General features: G+C 42.4%; 1 protein-coding gene, 2 long non-coding RNA genes and 1 pseudogene across 4 annotated transcripts, besides 8 other annotated features; 3 read left to right on the top strand and 1 right to left on the bottom strand.

Moving 5' to 3' along the window:
* On the top strand, positions 6551 to 17983 carry TAT (tyrosine aminotransferase). Its single transcript, NM_000353.3, has 12 exons — positions 6551 to 6634; positions 7216 to 7462; positions 7617 to 7721; positions 10037 to 10104; positions 10955 to 11113; positions 11319 to 11457; positions 11985 to 12037; positions 12812 to 12964; positions 13246 to 13374; positions 13706 to 13789; positions 14834 to 14932; positions 15359 to 17983. The coding sequence occupies exons 2-12, from the start codon at positions 7228 to 7230 to the stop codon at positions 15497 to 15499; spliced, it is 1365 nt and encodes a 454-aa protein (NP_000344.1). The 5' UTR covers positions 6551 to 6634; positions 7216 to 7227; the 3' UTR covers positions 15500 to 17983.
* Positions 10597 to 10741: an enhancer, noted in NCBI's record as "145 bp enhancer 166 fragment used in the MPRA reporter construct; PK_construct_971". NCBI's record gives its function as "activates an SV40 promoter by MPRA in HepG2 cells {active_cell/tissue: HepG2}" and the evidence as "EXISTENCE:reporter gene assay evidence [ECO:0000049][PMID:23512712]".
* Positions 10597 to 11849: a biological region, named in NCBI's record as "BRD4-independent group 4 enhancer GRCh37_chr16:71605697-71606896".
* Positions 10602 to 10746: an enhancer, noted in NCBI's record as "145 bp enhancer 32 fragment used in the MPRA reporter construct; PK_construct_590". NCBI's record gives its function as "activates an SV40 promoter by MPRA in HepG2 cells {active_cell/tissue: HepG2}" and the evidence as "EXISTENCE:reporter gene assay evidence [ECO:0000049][PMID:23512712]".
* Positions 10650 to 11849: an enhancer, noted in NCBI's record as "BRD4-independent group 4 enhancer chr16:71605697-71606896 (GRCh37/hg19 assembly coordinates)". NCBI's record gives its function as "activates an origin of replication core promoter dependent on BRD2, P300/CBP, MED14 and CDK7 cofactors, and independent of BRD4, by STARR-seq in HCT116 cells {active_cell/tissue: HCT116}" and the evidence as "EXISTENCE:reporter gene assay evidence [ECO:0000049][PMID:35650434]".
* Positions 10663 to 10674: a transcriptional cis regulatory region, noted in NCBI's record as "FOXA motif; enhancer 166 activity is reduced when this motif is scrambled". NCBI's record gives its function as "necessary for full MPRA enhancer 166 activity {active_cell/tissue: HepG2}" and the evidence as "EXISTENCE:site-directed mutagenesis evidence [ECO:0005528][PMID:23512712]".
* Positions 10668 to 10681: a transcriptional cis regulatory region, noted in NCBI's record as "HNF1 motif; enhancer 32 activity is reduced when this motif is scrambled". NCBI's record gives its function as "necessary for full MPRA enhancer 32 activity {active_cell/tissue: HepG2}" and the evidence as "EXISTENCE:site-directed mutagenesis evidence [ECO:0005528][PMID:23512712]".
* On the bottom strand, positions 11205 to 18627 carry TAT-AS1 (TAT antisense RNA 1). 2 transcript variants are annotated; one of them, NR_103852.1, is made up of 3 exons: positions 18521 to 18627; positions 17442 to 17592; positions 11205 to 11623 (listed from the first exon to the last, which is right to left on the bottom strand). It is a non-coding gene; the product is annotated as a TAT antisense RNA 1 (long non-coding RNA). The 2 variants fall into 2 exon arrangements; NR_103851.1 differs by lacking the exon at positions 18521 to 18627 and adding an exon at positions 17722 to 17854.
* Positions 17676 to 18207: an enhancer, noted in NCBI's record as "H3K27ac hESC enhancer chr16:71599339-71599870 (GRCh37/hg19 assembly coordinates)". NCBI's record gives its function as "activates a minimal SCP1, AML or CMV promoter by ChIP-STARR-seq in primed H9 embryonic stem cells {active_cell/tissue: H9 hESC(primed)}" and the evidence as "EXISTENCE:reporter gene assay evidence [ECO:0000049][PMID:30033119]".
* On the top strand, positions 18703 to 19990 carry LOC124903710 (uncharacterized). Its single transcript, XR_007065106.1, has 2 exons — positions 18703 to 18750; positions 18819 to 19990. It is a non-coding gene; the product is annotated as an uncharacterized LOC124903710 (long non-coding RNA).
* RNU6-1061P (RNA, U6 small nuclear 1061, pseudogene) lies at positions 20115 to 20213 on the top strand (annotated as a pseudogene).
* Positions 21402 to 21903: an enhancer, noted in NCBI's record as "NANOG hESC enhancer chr16:71595643-71596144 (GRCh37/hg19 assembly coordinates)". NCBI's record gives its function as "activates a minimal SCP1, AML or CMV promoter by ChIP-STARR-seq in naive H9 embryonic stem cells {active_cell/tissue: H9 hESC(naive)}" and the evidence as "EXISTENCE:reporter gene assay evidence [ECO:0000049][PMID:30033119]".

Here is a 22489-nt window from a genome sequence, read left to right as displayed (position 1 = left end):
TGCCAGACAGTGCTTGGTGTGGGATAGATGCCCAATCTGCATAGGTGGAGAAAAGAAAGGGTGTGGGAAACAGGTCTGTAAAAATGAGGGCCCTGGGGTTTTAGGCGACTATTGATAAGCAAGTTTACAAAAATTTTTATAGTCTTAGGAAAATGTTCACAATATATTGTAAAATGAAAACCACGGAATACAAAACTCTGTATATCTAGAAAAAAGTAGAAATTTCAAGATGTTAATTGTGGGCAAAATGGTTCACAGTGGTTATCTCTAGGTGATGGCGCTATTTCACAAATACTTTTCTATCAGAAAGTGGAAAGGTAGTTGTGAAGGGCTAAGGGGAAATTGAAGGGGGAATTCGTGCTTAATGGGTGTAGAGCTTCAGTTTTACAAGATGAAACAGTTCTGGAGATCTGTTGTACAACAACGTGAATAAACTAAACTGTACATTTAAAAATGTTTAAGTTGGCTGGGCATGCTGGCTTATGCCTGTAATCCCAGTACTTTGGGAGGCTGACGTGGGAGGATCACTTGAGGCCAGGAGCTCAAGACCAGCCTGGACAACATAGCGAGATCCCGTCTCTACGATAAAATAAAAAATTGGCAGGGCGTGGTGGTGTGTATCTGTAGTTCTAGCTGCTCTGAAGGCTGGGGTATGAGGATCACTTGAGCCCAGGAGTTTGAGGCTGCAGTGAGCTATGATCACACCACTGCACTCCAGCCTGGGCAACAGAGCCAGGCCCTGCCTCTTAAAAAAAGTTAAGATGGTAAATTTAATGTTAAGTATTTTTTTTTACCACAATTAAAAAATTTTAAATACAAAATGGCAAACAACAATTTTATACTTAAGAAAAAAAAAGGCCAGGTGTGGTGGCTCACACCAGTAATCCTAGCACTTTGAGAGGCTGAGGCGGGTGGATCACCTGAGGACAGGAGTTCGAGACCAACCTGGCCAACATGGTGAACCCCTGTCTCTACTAAAAATACAAAAAATTAGCCGAGAGTGGTGGTGGACACCTGTAATCCCAGCTACTTGGGAGGCTGAGGCAAGAGAAACGCTTGAACATGGGAGGCGGAGGTTGCAGTGAGCTGAGATAGTGCCATTGCACTTCAGTCTGGGCAACAAGAACGAAACTTTGTCTTAAAACAAACGAACAAACAAAAAACGAGTGTTTCTACACTTTACTGGGTCCTGACTTCCCTGTAAAGTTTATCTGGCATCAGGAAAGCTTCCTAAGTAGACTTGGGTCCTCTCACGTTCTCTCTGTCTGCATTTTTTTTTTTTTTTTGAGACGGAGTCTCGCTCTGTCGGAGCACTTTCGGCTCACTGCAAGCTCCGCCTCCTGGGTTCACACCATTCTCCTGCCTCGGCCTCCAGGTGGGACTACAGGCGCCCGCCACCATGCCAGGCTAATTTTTTTTTTTTTTTTTGTATTTTTAGTAGAGACGGGGTTTCACCGTGTTAGCCAGGATGGTCTCGATCTCCTGACCTTGTGATCCACCCGCCTCGGCCTCCCAACGTGCTGGGATTACAGGCGTGAGCCACCGCGCCTGGCCCTCTCTGTCTGCTTTCTACCGAGGGAAAACATTAGCTACAGAAGAGCGCATGACCAAAACTTGTTTGCCTTGTCTGTTTTTCCTTCTGATTTAGGTTTCGTTGTCAACTGCCAAAGCCGAGGCGAGGGTGTGTCCATGGTGATGACCTTCTGGTACAGCAGCTCTTGTCCCCATCACACACCCCTTGGCCTGCAGATTCTGCGTCAGCGGCACTATTTGCAGGACAACCCGCCAAAATTTTGTGCTGCTTGCTGTTTTTTGATCTGTAAACCTGAGTCTCAGCCAGTCAGGTTGACACAGAGGAGACTGGGCCAGTGATCTCAAAGCAGCTGTCTTGTTGCTTTGCAGTGGCTTCCTAGGCCAAAGTCCTACCTACGAGAAAGATGAGTCCCCTTGTAGACAGACGGGTGAGGGACATGAACAGACAATTCACAAAATGGGAAGAGCAAAGAAACATGAAACATGACCACCCTCGCTAAAATAGAGGGGACAGAGTTAACAGAAATAACAGCAGCACTTGGATACCATTTTTCCTCCATCAATCAGTTTGGCAAAGATTTTTTTAAGAAAATAATTCCCAGGGTTTGCAGACAATTACTGATAGAAAGGTAAATGGCCTTTTTTAAAGCAATGTGGCTGTGTGTATAAAAAACTGTAAGAATGTTCATTCTGGAATAGCATATGCCAGAAAGAGAGTCAAGAAGATACAGGAATTTAGTACAAAGTGACATTTTAAGTAAGGAAGAAGACAGATTTCCTTTTCTGGCTGTATTGAGGACAGGATAACCTAGAAAATCTTCCATTACAAAAATATTTAGACATACTTGATAAAATATAACAAAATGCCTGAGCTCCCAAGATAAAAAGGGAAGACCCCAGGGGTCACAACCTATAAGGGAATAATCTAAGTCTCCTGGTTTAATGTCCAGTTGGAGACAGGACACCAATCTTACAGGCTGTGTAAATGTGGGAGGGGGAGTTGGATCCGTGTCTCCTTGAAAATCTGAACCTTGAGGCCAGGTGCAGTGGCTCACGCCTGTAATCCCAGCACTTTGGGAGGCCGAGGCGGGAGGATCACTTGATGTCAGGAGTTCAAGACCAGCCTGGCCAATATGGTGAAACCCCGTCTCTACTAAAAATACAAAAATTAGCCGGATGTGGTAGTGTGTGCCTGTAGTCCCAGCTACTCGGGAGGCTGAGGCAGGAGAATGGCATGAACCCGGGAGGCGGAGGTTGCCGTGAACTGAGATAGCGTCGTTGCACTCCAGCTTGGGTGAGGAGGGTGAGACTCCGTCTCAAAAAAAAGAAAAGAAAATCTGAACCTTGAGTGACAGAAATCAGTCATAGTAGCCTTCTCACATTGAGAAAAATCTGATTCTTACTTGATCTCTTTTAAAGACCAGTGGTCTCAACCTCTGACAAAGATTCTCTGATTGACCAGACTTTTGTCAGGCTTCTGGATCTTCTTCTAAGCCCATCTGCACTTCCTTGCAAGATCCAGTTTTAGCAAAGAACCCTGAGTCATTTTGGCAAGATTTCCCACCCTGCATATCTGACCAGGTTCCTCATTCTTTGCCGTCCCCCAGGGAATGTTTGGTCACCATGGCCTGTCTTCAGCAGGATGACACTGACACTGGCCTTCTAGGTCAGTTTAGCAGAATCCCCCTTACTCCTGATGATTCCTCTTACTTTTTCCATCCTTGGCTATAAATCCACACTTGCCATCACCATATTTGGAGTTGAATCCAATTTCTCTTCCCCACTGGAAAATCCATTGCAGTGGGCCGTCTAGCTATTGGAATGGTCCTGAATAAAGTCTGCCTTACCATGCTTTAACAAGTGTTATTGAATAATTTTTTTTAACACCTCTGAGTCTCTGTCCACCTGGAGAACCACTACAGTAACACTCAGTGAGGTACCTGTGTCATCTCTCAAGCACAGTATATTGTCATGACAGGTAGTCTGAACTCCAAGAGGTTGTTCAAATTAAACATATTTGCATTGCTTTCGTCTTTGTATAGTCCGTAATTGAAACTATCCCTCAAATAACAGGATATGCATAAAAGTTCTCTATCAATCATGAATGTACAAGGACATTCGATATGCTTTATTTTTTATTTTATTTATTTATTTATTGAGACAGAGTCTGGCTCTGTCGCCCAGGCTGGAGTGCAGTGGCGCGACCTCAGTTCACTGCAAGCTCCACCTCCCGGATTCATGCCATTCTCCTCCCTCAGCCTCCCGAGTAGCTGGGACTACAGGCACCCGCCACCAGGCTGGGCTAACTTTTGTATTTTTAGCGGAGATGGGGTTTCACGGTGTTAGCCAGGATGGTCTCCATCTCCTGACCTCGTGATCCGCCTGCCTCAGCAACCCCAAAGTGCTGGGATTATAGGCGTGAGCCACCACACCAGGCTATTTATTTTTATTTTTTATTTTTTGAGACGGAGTCTCACTCTGTCGCCCAGACTGGAGTGCAGTGGCACGATCTCGGCTCACCACAACCTCCACCTCCTGGGTTCAAGCGATTCTCCTGCCTCAGCCTCCTGAGTTGCTGGGATTACAGGTGTGCACCACTGTGCCTGGCTAATTGTTGTATTTTTAGTAGAGATGGGGTTTTGCCATGTTGGCCAGGTTGGTCTTGAACTCCTGATCTCAGATGATCTGCCTGCCTTGGCCTCCAAAGTGCTGGGGTTACAGGCATGAGCTGCCACGCCCAGCCCACACATTATTAAGATTTTAAAAAAAGCAAGCTACAGAACAGCCCTGTCCAATAGACAGAATGCAAGCCACATAGTGACTTCAAATTTCCTAATAGAAATATTTTAAGATATAAAAACAAATAGGTGAAATTAATTTTAAGAATGTATTTTATTTTACTCAGCACACCATGTATTTTATTATCATATATTTTATTATATATTTTATTATATATATACGGTGTACTGAGTAAAATAAAATACATTTTATATATATATATACATATATATATATATATATATATTTTTTTTTTTTTTTTTTTCTGAGGCAAGGTCTCATTCTGTCACCCAGGCTGGAGTGCAATGGCATGATCACAGCTCTCTGCAGCCTTGACCTCCTGGGTTCAGGTGATCTTCCTACCTCAGCCTCCCAAGTAGCTGGGACTATAGGCTCATGCCACCATGCCTGGCTAGTTTTTGTATCTTTTTGTATAGACGGGGTTTCACTATGTTGCCCAAGCTGGTCTTGAATTCCTTAGCTCAAGTGATCCATCCACCTTGGCCTCCCGAAAGGCTGGGATTACCAAAGGTGTGAGCCACCATGCCCAGCCCCAAAATATTCTTTAAACATGTAATCATACAAAATTATATGAGATATTAACATTCTTTTTTTATACTAAGTCTTCAAAACCTGATGTGTATTTTACAACACATCTTAATTCAGACCAGTCACATTTCAAGTATTCAACGGCCACTTATGACTAGTAGCTACAATATTAGACAGTGCAACTATAGACCACGTTTACTCTCCATTTTTTTAGCAACTCCCAAACCAGCTTTATACGTATTGTAATAAACATAGAAAACATTTGGAAGGGTACACAAGAAATGACTAAAAATGATTTTTTTATATAAAATGAGAATGCAGGGAGGGAAGGTGATCAGGGTTTAATTCACGTACATCTCTATTTGAATTTATTATATAAGGATATATCATATTTACTAAAAATGTAAAAGAGAAATGCTTATTCTTTGCAACACAGTCCTTGTATAGAAATCTGTCTTAAGGAAATAATCAAATATGTAAACTAACATTTATGACAAGGATGCCCTTGGCCCAAGACGTGAATAATTTTTTCTAGTGTATCCATGCTATAGACGTTACCTGCCATTACTGTATAAGAAAAAACATAGTGTACCTAGGGCTCAGTACTACCCATGGTTTCAGACATCCATAATTTCAGGCATCCACTGGAGGTCTTGGAGTGTGCTCCCTGTGGATAAGGGGGGACTACTGTATTCAACCCCACTGGAGGCTTGACTCCCTGAAAAGTGAATGGAGAAGAACAAACTGATGTGAAAAATCTTTGTCTTCCAACAAATAAACAGACAGGATCTGAGCCCTGGGGAGATCACTGAGGCTTCTCTTAACCCTTCAGTGGGTGGTATTTTCCATCTGCTCACAGGAATGTTGAGATTTTGGCTGTGGACCTTGTGTTTTGCTTAGCAAAGTTGTTTTGTGTGGATCGCACCTGACATTTTAAATTCTTCCAACAACCATAGGAGGTAAATGAAGAATTCATGCACAGTGCAAGGATAAAACTGCACAGGTTTCAGCTGCCTTGGACACCCTGTGCTTTTCAGCTATTTGTTGAATGGAACTTAAGTGCCCAATTTGTTCTGATTGGAGCAAAACTTTGTGGACTGACAAGGATGGGCGTCCAAGATGTAGGAAGTTAAAAAAAAAATGTTGCCAAACAAGGTGTAGAGCACGATCCTATCTGTGTTTTGAAATCTATGAAATTATGTATCTATGCACCTATATGTAATGTATCTATCTCTGAATGGAGGGAAAGAGCCTGACCATTACCACCCTCTACCCCTGGGAGTGAGAATGAAGTGTACAGGGAGCAGGTGCAAGGAAGAATGCTCACTTCTTACTTTATATATTTCTGTACTGTTAAAATTTTAACAGGCTGTTTTGTAAAAAAAATTTAATAAAAGCTATCAACTGTAACCAGAAGTACTTTCTGACAGTAGATGTTCTCAAACCATCTCACCAAGTGCCCAGAAAGAGTTAACACAGGAGAATTCCAGATGTTTGAAGTGAGGACAAATTCCTGCTTTGAGGGTGGGAGGTGGGCTTAGGGATGAGAGGCAATGACGGGGGAGAGGAGGAAAGAAGCTGAGGGGAGAGCTGGCTGCTGAGTTGTCATTCCAACCAATGGCATGAAAGTTTCAAGCCCAACGCCCATTTGTGGAGACTATTTCAGGAGTTAGGATTTGCATCTGAGTTCATTGCCCCTGTAACCTGTCAAAGAAGAGCTAAGGGAGCTTTCGGGGTTGGCTTCTTGGAGGCTGCTTTCTCCTTTACTTGGAAGGTAAAAATCTCAAGCCCAAGCTGATCAGGCAGTGGTGACTGATTGAGCTGTTAATTTTTTTCTTTTTGGTGTATTGATTTCTTTTTCCAGCTAGGGCTGTAACATGCTTATGGGATAAGGTTTTACTTTTACTAACAATGATATTTACATGGAACTTCTAACAAGATGGAGTGGTTCTTCCTGGTCCTCTGCAGATGACAAGAAGCATTAGGTAGATTTTCTTGGATAGGCTCGCATGGAAAGGAAGGAGAACCTATGCTTTGACTGATGAACAATTTTCATCTTATTCCTTCTTGGTTTCACATAGAGCATGGTTAAGCTTTGACAGGAATTGCAGATGCGTGTAGCAAATCCTACTTAAGTAGAATGGGTTCTTGCTTTATTTTCCATCTCAGTAAAAACTCTTAAAACTCCCCCATTCATAGTAAAGCTACTTTACAACAGAAAGTAGAAAAAAAAATAAAGAGAGAGTTTGGAAAGACACTTTTAGTGAAGTCACCCAATGTTTAGGTCCAAATGTAGCTCCTCTGTCCCCCAGCGCTATGTTATCAACATCACAGGGAACTTCTTTCCCCTCGCAGGCTTCGCTAGTGATGGACCCATACATGATTCAGATGAGCAGCAAAGGCAACCTCCCCTCAATTCTGGACGTGCATGTCAACGTTGGTGGGAGAAGCTCTGTGCCGGGAAAAATGAAAGGCAGAAAGGCCAGGTGGTCTGTGAGGCCCTCAGACATGGCCAAGAAAACTTTCAACCCCATCCGAGCCATTGTGGACAACATGAAGGTGAAACCAAATCCAAACAAAACCATGATTTCCCTGTCCATTGGTGAGTTGGGGACACTACTGAGGGGCTGTCATTGTCCTCCTCTACTCTCATGTTCACAGGCTGGTTGGAGAAGATGGCAGTTGGGGGTGAGTCTGAGTACTGAACATGGGAGAATAACCTCTTGGCTCCTTTTGTGTTTTCCTCCCATAAAAAGGGGACCCTACTGTGTTTGGAAACCTGCCTACAGACCCTGAAGTTACCCAGGCAATGAAAGATGCCCTGGACTCGGGCAAATATAATGGCTATGCCCCATCCATCGGTAAGCTCCTCCTGAGACTCCATACCTGGTGACTGCCAAATCTTTAGTGCTCTTATAACAGGACTAAATGTCTAGCAATCCTCTTCACTTTCCTGATGCACAATTCCTAAGGAGAGGCTAAGATTACATGGTCCTTTGGATTTGGGAACCGGGTCTCGGGATGCTTAAATACAAGGCATCAAGGTCCAACTTCTTTCCTGGCTTTCTTTGACATATGGGCACTTCCCCTCTAGGCTCCCAAACATACTTATTTGTCAAGTAAAGCTCCTATCCTATCATTACTAATTCTAATCTGAAGGCCTTGAGTCTGGCAGGAGCTTTGTGTTTGCTGAGCCTCTAGGTCCTAAATGGATTTACTTATTGCTCTGTGTATATAGCTCCTTTGCTTCATTTCTGCTTCTCTATGTATTGAAGGCCTATTTTCATTATGGTCCTGAGCACATTGAAATGCAATTGTTACCGTTTATGACTAACGGGTTTAAACAAACAAATAAACAAACACCCAAGAACAACAAAAAATGGGCTGTCAAACTGAAGGATAGAAGGTTGTTTCTGATAGATTGAAATTACTCCTTTTTAGGTTTCTCTCCATCTATTAAAAATTTCTACCCTGAATATTTTGGTAAAGTACATGATTCCTTGACTTTCAGTATTGAACATTTTTTTTCCTTATGTGTACATAGAAACACATTCTTAATGCAGAATAAAACCCCAGTTTCATGATAAAATCAAATTTTAAAAACACTTTAAAGAGTTATATCGGGGACTTCGTGGTTTTTCGGTTGATTACTTACATTTTATAAAGTTTCATACAACAAAAATAAAAGCAAAATCAAGACCAAAAGTTGTTATAAAAAAAGTTTCTAATGACTTTAACATCCAAATATTAGGAAACTGATTTAACCTGAAAAACCAAAACCAAGTCTCCATTTGACAAATGTTCAAAGGTTCTGAACATTTCATTTCAAAGGAGATACAGGTGTTAATATATGTCTAAAAAAGTGTTCTTCCTCATTAGTAATTAAGGAAGTGCTGATTTGTATAACTTTGAGACACCCATCTATACCTATTAAATTAGTAAACATTATGAAATAGTGCCTCTAGCCTTGCTAAGTTGTCTTTTTGAACATAAATTTTGCAAAATATTATGATGGGCATGAAACTGCTGATACTTCAAGCTTGTAAGCCAACATTTGGAAATATTGTACAAAAATAATTTGAAATAAAAATTTGTACAAAAATACTGATAAGAATATTACATAACATAAAAAACTTAAAATGGACCACATGAATTGAATGCACTGATTACAACTTCTTTTTTTTTTTTTTTTTTTTTTTTTGAGACGAAGTTTTCGCTCTTGTTGCCCAGGCGGAGTGCAGTGGCATGATCTTGGCTCACCGCAACCTCCGCCTCCCGGGTTCAAGTGATTCTCCTGTCTCAGCCTCCTGAGTAGCTCGGATTACAGGCACGCGCCACAATGCCCAGCTAATTTTTGTATTTTTAGTAGAGATGAGATTTCTCCATGTTGGTCAGACTGGTCTCAATCTCCCGACCTCAGGTGATCCACCCACCTTGGCCTCCCAAAGTGCTGGGATTACAGGCGTGAGCCACCGCGCCTGGCGATTACAACTTCTTAAAAAATACAGTCCCTAAAAAAGATTTGGGAATAATAGAAATCCTTGTATTACACAGAATAAAATATAATCACAGAAATCAAGATGGTGCAGAGTATTTGGGGAGCTCTTCCTTGTTATCATTTATACATTCGTGCTTATACTAAAATTGTAAAACATAAAATGTGAAGTGAATCTCCTTTATCCACAATGGCTGAGAGCTGAACTAAATAGAATGCCCTCTGAGCAGGGGCAGAGGCAGCCTGAAGCCCATGCTGGGCCTCCAGGGCATAGCTGTCAGTTGAGGGATGAAAACTTCATCTTCTTGCCAGGCACAGTGGCTCACCCCTGTAATCCCAGCACTTTCAGGAGGCTGAGGTGGGAGGAGCCCCTGAGCCCAGGAGTGTGAAATCAGCCTGGGCAACAGAGGGAGATTCTGTCTCTACAAAAAAAACAAACAAAAACAAAACAAAACAAACAAACAAAAAACAAAACAAAAAAATTCAAAAATTAGCTGAATGTGGGGGAGCACGACTATAGTCCCAGCTACTCAGGAGGCTAAGGTGGGAGGATCCCTTGAGCCCAGGAATTTGAGGCCGCAGTGAGCTATGGCTGTGTCACTGCACTCCAAGTCCGGGTGACAGAGTGAGACACAGTCTCTAAAAACCAAAAAAGCTCCACTTTCCACTCTTTTCTTTCAGGCTTCCTATCCAGTCGGGAGGAGATTGCTTCTTATTACCACTGTCCTGAGGCACCCCTAGAAGCTAAGGTGAGCCTTATACAAGACACCAGCTCTGAAGCAATTTAGGGCAAACTATCCCTTTTTACTTGTTTCTGTTCCACAAGAAGTACGGGTGTCAGAGGGGGAAAAGCTGAGAACAATTTCCCTTTAGCAATTAGAAGACTTCTCATATAGTTGGGGTCACTAATCAGTGATTATAGTTAATGTCATTACAGTGTGATAATGACCATCCCATACAACTTAATGTGGTGTCTGTCTCAAGGAGGCCGAAAGGATCCAGAGAGCACCTATATTTGATTGTCTGTAAAAGATCATTTGAGAACAACTCATAAACACTAAAAAATTATTTTAAAAAATTTTACCAATAGGATCTTTCTTTTTTAAAAAAAATTGTAGCTTTTCTCATTTACTGTAAGGTCATTTAGAGAGAAAGATAGAAGTACCAGGACATACTGAATTGATGGCAGTGCCAAGTTTAAATGATGTCCTTCCCTCTATAGTCTACTGTGTGGGGTCAGCATTTTCTAACATAATGTGTGTCTGTCACCTGTATGTCAGCGAAGAGCCAGGCTTCAAATCTCTGGCCAAAAGTAAATAAATAACCAAGCGAAAAAGGTCCAAGGCCAGCATGCTCTCTCATGGAAGTCTGCTGAGTCACAGCCAACCTATCCTTTTTAAAGTGATTTAAGTGGCCAACATTTCAACAATAGTTATCAACATATATAAATTTCTTTTGGTTTTGGCTTAGTACATTTCCTACTACTTACAACTTGTTAAAGGAAGTTCACAATTGCTCCCAACTCACCCACCTGACAACTTCTTTTCTCCTGTTGCTGTTGGAACCCCTAATGAAATTAACCTTTTATTTCCTTCACAGGACGTCATTCTGACAAGTGGCTGCAGCCAAGCTATTGACCTTTGTTTAGCTGTGTTGGCCAACCCAGGGCAAAACATCCTGGTTCCAAGACCTGGTTTCTCTCTCTACAAGACTCTGGCTGAGTCTATGGGAATTGAGGTCAAACTCTACAATTTGTTGGTAAATGACTTTTTAATCTTAGACTCAAATGCTCAGTTACTAACCTGTAAAAAATATATGAACATTACTTCAGCAGAGGAAGGTCTCAAAGTGGTGGTTGAAGCCAGAGACAGACTTTATTGCTTACATTGGACCCTTGAGATAAGTGAGGATTCCCCCTAAATGTTTCAGAATCATCTTAGTCTCATCCTTTCTTTCTCTCCAGCCAGAGAAATCTTGGGAAATTGACCTGAAACAACTGGAATATCTAATTGATGAAAAGACAGCTTGTCTCATTGTCAATAATCCATCAAACCCCTGTGGGTCAGTGTTCAGCAAACGTCATCTTCAGAAGATTCTGGCAGGTACGTCCAGCAGACTTCACAGAGGACGAGGTGGGGACAGAATCCTTCAGCTGTTGTGTGAAATGACAAAAACCAGTCATTCCCTAAGTTCCAAGCCTGGGGTGGAGGTGGGGAGCTCCACTGATGTCTCTCATCAATACTGTGCCATAGGAGTGGTAGGCCTGGCCTAAAAGAAGAAAAAGAAGAAATACTTGTCTCTTCATCACTCCCAGGAGAAAAAGAAATAGTACTTGCCTCTTCATCACTCCCATCACGTTGAAGATAGGGTCTGAAATATCTAGTTACTTAAATGGTGAATTCAGGCTCTGCACTCTGGAAGAGTATGTTAAGAATTTACAGTTCTTAAATAGGAAGACAAAACACACAAACATGAAATGCAAATCACACTTTGCTTGTGCTTTTTGTCTTTCTCTTTAAGAATTGTAACTTCTTAATATTACGGGATAGGGAAATTACATGATATTATGTGACTATTACATGATAAAGCAATTCACATTAAAACTGATTTCAGCATGTTTTATTTTCAGTGGCTGCACGGCAGTGTGTCCCCATCTTAGCTGATGAGATCTATGGAGACATGGTGAGTCTTGATCAGGATATATCACTACAGTAATCTCAAATTATTTTATGGGAACTTTAGAAGTGGAATAATCAGAAACAACTCCTAATCGTTTCATTACAGCAAATCAGCATCCCTGCACTTTTTACAAATATATAGACCCACAACTCCTTAGCCAGTTTTCTGAAACCCAAAGAACTTTGGAAATCCAAAGATTCCTGGAATTCATTTGGTTACAAAACCTGATTTGACCTGATATTTGTAGATTTTTATTTTTCCCACTTGTGGATCTATATATTTGTTAAGAGTGTGGGGAAAATGGCAGAAATGTTAATATTCTTGATTAGGGGTACTATCCTAGACAGCTCTGGGAGTGTTACATAACGTATGGTAAGTGTGCTACATGGCCTTTCTGAAGCCCAAACCATTTTGCATTATGAAAATACCTGGCCCCAGGAATTTCAGATAAGGGATTGTGGACTTATATTTTAAATCTGTAACTCCTATAGACAGTAATTTCATAGAGCCAGCTTCATGGAGTTGTAAATATTACTGGGCTAGGGTCAGTTTCCTCATTTTAGGCTTCCTTTAATCCAGTCCAGACACCAAATTAAATGTCTTTGTGTAGTCCCCTTCAAAGCCTCTTGCAATCCCAGTCATGCTTCAGGGTAGGGATGATCCCATTAATCCAAGGACCTGTCCCTAGTGATAGAAGGAAATGGGTGGGAGCCACGGGATCTGGGATTGCAGTGAGAAGTAGACAAGAAAACAACCATAACAAGTGCCTCTTCTCAGGTGTTTTCGGATTGCAAATATGAACCACTGGCCACCCTCAGCACCGATGTCCCCATCCTGTCCTGTGGAGGGCTGGCCAAGCGCTGGCTGGTTCCTGGCTGGAGGTTGGGCTGGATCCTCATTCATGACCGAAGAGACATTTTTGGCAATGAGGTGATAATATGGTGAAAGAGTATGTGTAATTTAGGGTATATATTTATTTCATGAGCACAGTGGGGACAAGGGAGGCTTTTTTCTTTTCTTTCTCCTTGTCAGTCAAGCAGCATGTGTGTGGCAGAGCTGGGCTACGAACCCAGAGGGTCTGATCTAAGAATGCCACTAGACACCATCACTTTCCAAGATTAAAAACCTGATAGAAAGGTCAGAACAAGAAACTCTAAGACAGAGATGCTTAAGAAAAGCTAAACAACATGTTTCTTGTGGGTGTCTTTTAGATCCGAGATGGGCTGGTGAAGCTGAGTCAGCGCATTTTGGGACCCTGTACCATTGTCCAGGGAGCTCTGAAAAGCATCCTATGTCGCACCCCGGGAGAGTTTTACCACAACACTCTGAGCTTCCTCAAGGTAAGGGCAGCTCCTGCCCTCCACTTTGGGAGTTTGGGAGTCAGAGAATGCCGCCCGTGGAATTAGGAATAATTGGTTCTCCTTTCTGGAGCCATGTTCCAATATTAGGAGACGGCATCGGTGTAAGCATCCACACACACGTTTCTCACTTCCGGCCATTCTCTCTGCCCCTGGTGAAAAGCTTCAAGTAATAGAGCTTTTTCTTTTTCACTCCTTATGCCAGAACATCACACCTACGTTCCCACTCTTCAATGAGGGGGCTATTTTTAATGACTTGGCTTTTCTTTTACTTAAATTTTGATCCTTGATTTCTCCTTGCCTCTTCTTGTAGTCCAATGCTGATCTCTGTTATGGGGCGTTGGCTGCCATCCCTGGACTCCGGCCAGTCCGCCCTTCTGGGGCTATGTACCTCATGGTGAGTATGTGGGTGGCAGGCACTAGGTCAATGCATGTTGTAAGGCAAAGGGCAGTCATTCAGCAGAATTGCCACAGGCAGTCACGCAGGGTACAAAGACAACCAGCTGGCCTCCTAAGCCAAGCAGTTTAGGAGTTGTCTTATTCTGAATTGTCCCACTGAGGTAATTTAGCCTCTATCAGTTCTCATAAAACTCTTTAAATGACTTAATTAGGCAGGGCATGGTGGCTCACGCCTGCAATGCCAGCACTTTGGGAGGCCAAGGTGGACGGATCACTTGAGCGCAGGAGTTAGAGACCAGCCTGGGCAACATGGTGAAACTCTATTGTCTCTACAAGAAATAAAAAAAATGAGCTGGGCGTGGTGGCACACTCCTGTAGTCCTAGCTCCTTGGGAGGCTGAGATGGAAGAATGACTTGAGCCTTGGAGGTTGAGGCTGTAGTGAGCCATAATCGTGCCACTGTACTCCCGTCTGGGAGACAGAGTGAGACCCCATCCGAAAAGAAAAAAAAAAAAGATTTAATTTTTCAGTACAGAGAATCATTTTATATATGTAGATACAGGGAAGATTTAAAACACAAATAAGAGGCTTTTCATACCATTGTAATTCTCAACTGGGAGTGATACTGGTTCCCTAAGGGTATCTGGGAATGTATGGGAATTTTGTTTGTTTTCAGAATGACTAGGGGCTGCCATTTTGTGGGTCAGGGATGTTAAATATCCTGCAAGGGGTGGGCTAGTCTCATGCCATAAAGAGTTGCCTGGCCCTAATGCCAGTAGTGTCTCTTTTGAGACATACTAGCATTCTATTTCCAGCTTTTATTTATCAGCATCAGGGAAGGAACTCTTTAATATTTATTAATAAAAATATATCCTGTCTTCCCTGAGAAAAATTCCATAAATATTAGCCCTCTTATTTATCAGTGATCAGTAGCACAGTTCCAAGATATCTTTTAAAGTAGCCCCTACCTTAATTTCTGGCACAGGAAATTGGCCTGTTCTCCCTCCTTCTGATAAGTTGGCCTCTCCCTCCTGTTGGTATAGGTTGGAATTGAGATGGAACATTTCCCAGAATTTGAGAACGATGTGGAGTTCACGGAGCGGTTAGTTGCTGAGCAGTCTGTCCACTGCCTCCCAGCAACGGTGGGTGCCTGTGTCCCTCAGGACATTCTCAACAGTTTCTAGAGCCCCAGAAGCAAGTTCTGAGCTGGTTTTTAGCCTGATCTTTTCTCCTCCAACAAAATGTCTTCTCATTTGATAAGATTCAAACTGATGTGTCTCATGGATCCTATTTAAAATTTGCTTCTCCCCCCCATCATAATCCCATCCATACTGGGAAGAAAAGTTGTAAACAAACGTTCTAGGTGAGAGGAAATTGATCCTGTCCCACAAGTCATTTTAAGATGAATGAACTCAGTTGCTGACTTAGCATCCCAGTCATGGGAGCTGAATGAACTGATGGCCCTGATGAAATGGTACCACTTCTTGTGGATCAGGGTCCTGACCATTTTAGGGTGGTCCAGTACCAGACTCAATTGCTCTGAAAGTAACAGACTCTTCTTTTTGCAGTGCTTTGAGTACCCGAATTTCATCCGAGTGGTCATCACAGTCCCCGAGGTGATGATGCTGGAGGCGTGCAGCCGGATCCAGGAGTTCTGTGAGCAGCACTACCATTGTGCTGAAGGCAGCCAGGAGGAGTGTGATAAATAGGCCTGCATCCATTCTCCTGAGGATGTGTCCCATCTAGGGAAGGCTGGACTAGGCCTTGCGGCTCCTCAGGGACTCAGGTGGCCCTACTGGGAGAGGGGCCTCAAATGCACCATGTCAAGGGTTCAAGATTGTTCCTGCTTTTCCCCAAGTACAACCACACCCACACTCAGATCCTCCTCATTCACATCGCAGATTCTCCCTTGCTCTGCGCTGCTAGAGTGACTCACTAATTCATTAATCTGCCTCCCTCTCGTAAGATTTCCTTCTTTTTTTCTTGAAAGTACCAGGTGAACAAAGTTTACCAGAAAGCAGTTGAGACAAGAAAATAAGAGCTCAGGATGAGGGAAAAGAAAAAGATTGAGAGAATTTGTGCCCCCAACCATTTCCTCAGACTCTAAGAAAGAACACGCTCTCTCCAGGCAGGTCTGAAGCTCAACTCTCTTATTGCCTCACTTCAGGTATACCTCACTTTACACAATAGAATTATAACTGGAAAGAAGTTGGGGACACATGTATTTGGTGATTACATTTTAAACACATTAGGAAAAGTTGCTATTTGAACTTTTTATTGATTTTTGGGGGGAGTAAAGAATTATTTTGTGATGCAAATAAATATCCTTTAATTGATCGACTTGCCAAATTTAGATTTGTGTGCATCAGGCTTTCTTTTTTTTCTTTTTTTAGAGAAGTTCAATATAAGCTTTTCTTTTCTTTGTTTCTTTCTTTCTTTATTTTGAGATGGAGTCTTGCTCTGTCGCCCATGCTGGAGTGCAGTGGCGCGATCTCGGCTCACTGCAACCTCCACCTCCTGGGTTCAAGCGATTCTCTTGCCTCAACCTCCCAAGCAGTTGGGACTACAGGCGTGAGCCACCATGCCCGGCTAATTTTTGTATTTTTAGTAGAGACAGGGTTTCACCATGTTAGCCAGGCTGGTCTCAAACTCCTGACCTCAGGCAATCTGCCCGCCTGGGTCTCCTAAAGTACTGGGATTACAGGCGTGAGCCACCTCGCCCAGCGGCATCAGGCTTTCTTAAAGTGAGAGCACGCCTGTACTAGAGCAAGCAGGAATCAGAGACCTTCCAGAAATACTACTGTGTAAGGGCCAGAAATATCTTCACTTGTCATTGTTATATAATCATTATTACTTTTGCTGTAATGTTAATATTGATTTATTAATATATATTATCTTTTCATACATTTTCTAAGAAACATTTATATTGATAAGATCTTTTATTTTGCCAAGGGCATAAATTATTGTTTTTCTTTTTTTTTTTTTAATAAATTTCACCAAGTATGGCTCTTCTGTGATGTGTTTTTTTCTCCGTTTGGGAATTTCTAATCCCAGGCACTCCTCAGTCTCATTGTTTCATTACCTATGAGGTTTCATTTACTTCTTTGTAAATGTACTGACTTTTGGAGTTACTTAAGAACCACAGTTCCTAAAACATTTTATTTGGGAGCTCAACTTCTGGCTTCCTACTTACCAAGAGGCAGTAAGTTATAACCTCTGGCCTTTGTCTTTACATTTTCAACTTTCTGGATCCCTAACCTCTGGTCCCAAGTTACTACGCTTGCCTATATCCACTAACCACTCACTAGGTCACAAAGTTGATGGCTCTGGCTTGACCCAGTGAATGAGAAGTGTCCTAGATGTTTTTTTTTTTTTTTTTTTTTCGCAAATCTTCATAGGCACAGTTGCCTGTTTAATTTTTTCTTCAGCCCTTCCCTTAGAGGAGGGAGCCTTAAGTTACCTTTCAAGGTTGGGGGTTAGGAATCTATCATAACTAGTCTAGAGATTTCTCACCAAGGGAAATTTTCCTTATCTAAAAGAGGAACTTCAGGTCTCAACCCTGCCAGTCACACCCAATTAATGTCCTTCACAAAAATAAACAGCATATGTTCCCTTTCAATTTGAGTTCAGTGAGCTCACAGCAAAATTTACCTTTTAATTTTCTTCAGCAAATCCAAGACGAATATACAAAGGATGAGATTAGATAAAGATTTCAGTTTCCCGTATGCCACCGCTGCCGCCAATTTTCCAAAAAAGCCTGGCTCCTCTTTTCCTGTTCCTCCATCCAAGCCCCCAAAGATCTCTAACCAGAAATAAACAGGAAGACTCAGTGATTTACAAAAGACATTTTAGTTTTACACGTACAGAAAATTCTACCCAGCATTACAGAATTCTTAGACTTCTTAAATTCCTGATTTTCCTTGGTATTTACATTTTGATAAGGGAGCCAATGGTTCTTCAAACATTTGAAAAGAACACATACACACTGGACAATTTCAAACGATACAAACAAACGCAACTGTCCTTCTTTCTCATTCCTGTCCTTCAGCCACCCAGTTTCTTCTCCCCTGAGGGAATCAGTTATCATTTGCTGGTCATACTTCCAGATTATACTGTGCCTATGTAAGTGTGTGTGTGTGTGTGTGTGTGTGCACTTTTCATTTTTTCAAATAAAGTATTACTCAACTTTGTAATTCTGCGCGCTCTGGAGGTCAAAGGAGGGATGGCATTGCTGGGGTGTCCCCCACATCCTGAGTGTCTCTAGATAAAAAGGAGCTACCGGGCGGCGGCTGCTTTCCACACAAGCTTAAAATTGCCAAGAGTCAACTGCCAGTTGCTTTGGGTGGTGGCGTCAGAGTGTCTTCAGATAACACGAAGAATGCGTGTAAAGATCGGAGACGGCCGGGCGCGGTGGCTCACGCCTGTAATCCCGGCACTTTGGGAGGCCGAGGCGGGCGGATCACGAGGTCAGAAGTTTGAGACCATCTTGACCAACTTGGTGAAACCTCGGCTCTACTAAAAATACAAAAATTAGCCAAGCGTGGTGACGCGCGCCTGTAATCCTAGCTACTTAGAAGGCTGAGGCAGGAGAATCGCTTGAACACCGGAGGCAGAGCTTGCAGTGAGCCGAGATGGCGCCACTGCACTCCAGCCTGGGTGACAGAGCGAGACTCCATCTCAAAAAAAAAAAAAAAAGGACCGGAAACAAGGGCTCTCAGCTGCGAATTCACCTTTTCTTTGTGTCCGAGCCCCGCCTACCGGGTAACTGGAGAGTATCAGGACTGGGTGCTACCAAGCGCCTCACAGCAGCCCCCAGCCGACACCAACATCCCAACCCTGGGCGACCCGCGGCTGCGCAGGCGCGGATGCATGTTTAGGGGGCTGCGCTAGTCAGTGCGCATGCGCCGTCGCTAGGCAACAGGACACAGCTCCGGGCGCCGGCGTAGAATCTGAGCTGCAGGTGAGGGTTAGTTCCTTTATTCGGCCTCTGCGTTCTCTTAGGATGTTACATTTTGTTTCCTTTTTCAGCCTGTCTACCCTGGTCACACCCTGCTTCGAGTTTCTCTTCCTCCTTTGCCCCCGGTTTGGGCTCTGACTGGTGGAATTGTTCCAGGAAGTTGACAAAACATCCTAGGCTTTTGTAATCACCTGTTAACCTTTCCCAGCTCTGGATCAGAAGCAGCAACTTCCATGAGTTGTGACGCAGAGCAGACAATTCTATTAGCTGGTGTTAGTTTCCAATGGTATAGCCCCTTGGAACTTTTCTCCAAAGAATCGTGGCCCTCACCGTCCGCAGTGCCTGACATTAGGATCTCTACTCAGCCAGAAAAATAAATCCACCCCCGTGCCTTTGTCAAAGACAAAGCAGGACAGTAAAGCGGTTGAGACAGGTTTTAACCAGTAATATACTAATGGAATAAGGAGGAGTCCAGCACGAACTGAACTCAACTTTGATTTGTACAAATGTTACTCAGACTTTAAAGGAAAAATGGGGAAATAGGGAAGGGGAGAGGAATGAGGGGGCGCTCAGAAGAGTGAGGGAAGTGAAAGATTACAAAAAGTGCGAAGTAGGGGTTAGTCCATGTGAAACCCATCTGGGTTTGTTAAAGGGTGTTTCTGGAAGTTAGGCTTTTATCCTCCTACAGATGCTGGGAGATAGGAGCCATATCTTAAGGTGTTGGCTGGAACAGTAAATTCCTTTGGCAGCCTGAGTTTTTTTAGGCAGGCCCTTTAAAGCGGGGCTGGAGTCATCCTAGAGATGCTACCTTGAACTGTTAGAGACTGTGTTAGAGTTTTGTTCAAGTCTGTTGAGGCCTAGTCCACAAATGGCTCAGAGGAACCTGGCTAGAGTTTGGTCAAGGAGAGAATTTTTGTTACTCCGCATATTCTGCACATTATTCTGTGTGAGGTGTTGTATTTTACGTACCCTGAAGTTTGAATTATTGCATATATGTTGGAAAAGAACTGAATTCTCAGTACATATTATTTATATCCTTATTTATTTTAAACAATTTAGGTTTATTTACAAACAAGTTTCATATAATGTTATAGAACCTGCAAATACAGATGCTCTCTATAGGCCAAATTGTTTCACAGCACCTTCCAAAGAGGCAGTCAGTCATTTGCTAAGGTTAAGGTTGAAGCTGTATAGGAGGTGATGCCCAATTCCTCAAAGAAAACAATAAACAGAAGAACTAGCACATGTGTGTCTTAATTTTTGTGTGTTTCAAATGTAGAAAAGAATTATTGGTCTTTAACTCATTTGATAGCCTAAATTTAATGTATTTTTACGTTATACCATATTTAAAAAGTAAAGCTGTGGGAGTGTTCCCTTTGGCAGTGCATATTCTAAAATTGGAACAATACAGAGAAGATTAGCATGGTACTAGCAAACCAAATTCAACAGTATGTTACAAGGATTATACACCATGATCAAGTGGGATTTATTACTGAGATGCAACATATAAAAATCAATCAATATAATATGCCACATTAACAGAATGAAGGACAAAAACCACATGATCATCTCAACTGATGTAGAAAAGTTAGTTGACAAGATTTGACACCTTTTCACGATAGAAACACTCAACAAACTAGAAACAGAAGGAACCTACCTCAAGATAATAATAAGGACCATCTATGAATAGCTTGTATCGGCCAGGCAAGGTGGCTCACGCCTGTAATCCTAACACTTTGGGAGGCCGAGGTGGGTGGATCACCTGAGGTCAGGAGTTTGAGACCAGCCTGGACAACATGGCGAAACCTCATCTCTACTAAAAATACAAAAATTAGCCAGGCGTGGTGGCACATGCCTGTAGTTCCAGCTACTCAGGAGGCTGAGGCAGGAGAATTGCTTGAACCCAGGAGGCAGAGGCTGTAGTGAGCCAAGATCGTGCCACTGCACTCCAGCCTGGGTGACAGAGCAAGACTCCATCTCCAAATAAAGAAAGAAACAAAGAAAGAAAAGAAAAGCTTATATTTAACTTCATACTCAATGGTGAAAGACTAAAATCTCTTTTTCTAAGATCAGGAAAAAAGCATGGATGCCCACTTTCACCACTTTGATTCAACATAGTATTGGAAGTAGTGGCCAGAGCAATAAGACAAGAAAAAGAAATAAAAGGCATTGTGTTGCAGGAAGTCAGGGACCCCAAATGGAGGGACCAGCTGGAGCTGAGGCAGAAGAACATAAATTATGAGGATTTCATGGACATTTATCAATTCCCAAAATTAATACTTTTAAAGTTTCTTACGCCTGTCTTTACTGCAATCTTTGAACATAAATTGTGAAGATTTCATGGACATTTATCACTTCCCTAATAATACTCTTATAATTTCTTATGTCTGTCTTTACTTTAATCTCTTAATCCTGTTATCTTTGTAAGCTGAGAATGTACGTCACCTCAGGACCACTATTGTACAAATTGATTGTAGAACATGTGTGTTTGAACAATATGAAATCTGATTGTAAAACAGGTGTGTTTGAACAATATGAAATCAGTGCACCCTGAAAAAGAACAGAATAACAGTGATTTTCAGGGAACAAGGGAAGATAACCATAGGGTCTCACTGCCTGCGGGGTCAGGCAGAATACAGCCATATTTTTCTTCTCACAGAAAGCCTATAGACGGATGTGTGAGTAGGAGAAATACTGCTGAATTCTTTTCCCAGCAAGGAGTAACCCTGGGGAAGGAATTCATTCCTGGGGGTAGGTCTATAGACGGCCGCTCTGGGAGTGTCTGTCTTACGCCGTTAAGATAAGGACTGAAATACGCCCTGGTCTCCTGCAGTACCCTCAGGCTTTGGGAAATTCCAGCCTGGTAAATTCTAGTCAGACCAGTTCTCTGCTCTTGAACCGTGTTTCCTGTTAAGATGTTTATCAAGACAATGTGTGCACAGTGGGACATAGACCCTCATCAGTAATTCTAATTTTGCCTTGCCTTGTGATCTTTATTGCCCTTTGAAGCATGTGATCCTTGTGACCTACTCCCTGTTTGTACACCCCCTCCCCTTTTAAAATCCCTAATAAAAACTTGCTGGTTTTGCGGCTCGGGGTCATCATCACGGTCCTACCAATATGTGATGTCACCCCCAGAGGCCCAGCTGTAAAATTCCTCTCTTTGTACTATTTCTCTTTATTTCTCAGACCAGCCGACACTTAGGGAAAATAGAAAGAACCATGTTGAAATATTGGGGGCTGGTTCCCCCAGTAGCATTCAAATTGGAAAGGAAGAAGTAAAATTATCTTTGTTCACAGATGACATGATCTTATATGTAGAAAACCTTAAAAGATTCCACAAAAACTCTGTTAGAACTAATAACCAAATTCAGCAAAATTGTAGAATACAAAATTGATATGCAAAAGTCAGTTGCTTTTCTATACACTAACAATGAACAATCCAAAAAGAAAATTAAGAAAACAGTTCCACTTACAACAGCATCGAAAAGAATAAAATACTTAGGAATAAACCTAAGCAAGGAGGTAAATTATTTGTACAATCAGCTGGGCATGGTGGCTCATGCCTGTAATCCCAGCACTTTGGGAGGACAAGGTGGGTGGATCACGAGGTCAGGCATTCGGGACCAGCCTGATGAACATGGTGAATACCCATCTCTACTAAAAATACAAAAATTAGCTGGGCATGGTGGTGCACACCTGTAATCCTAGCTACTCAAGAGTCTGAGGCAGGAGAATTGCT

Source organism: Homo sapiens, chromosome 16 (genome assembly GCF_000001405.40).
Source record: "Homo sapiens chromosome 16, GRCh38.p14 Primary Assembly".
In the NCBI taxonomy this organism is placed as follows: domain Eukaryota; kingdom Metazoa; phylum Chordata; class Mammalia; order Primates; family Hominidae; genus Homo; species Homo sapiens.
This window is presented reverse-complemented; position numbering and strand designations above follow the sequence as displayed.

What these genes read in the sequence shown, in the direction of transcription:
- TAT (NM_000353.3), top strand. Translation starts at nt 7,228, where the DNA reads ATGGACCCATACATGATTCAGATGAGCAGCAAAGGCAACCTCCCCTCA. An exon ending in TGGCTATGCCCCATCCATCG is followed by an intron (nt 7,722 to 10,036) that starts GTAAGCTCCTCC and finishes CTTTTCTTTCAG; the next exon opens with GCTTCCTATCCAGTCGGGAG. An exon ending in AGGCACCCCTAGAAGCTAAG is followed by an intron (nt 10,105 to 10,954) that starts GTGAGCCTTATA and finishes TTTCCTTCACAG; the next exon opens with GACGTCATTCTGACAAGTGG.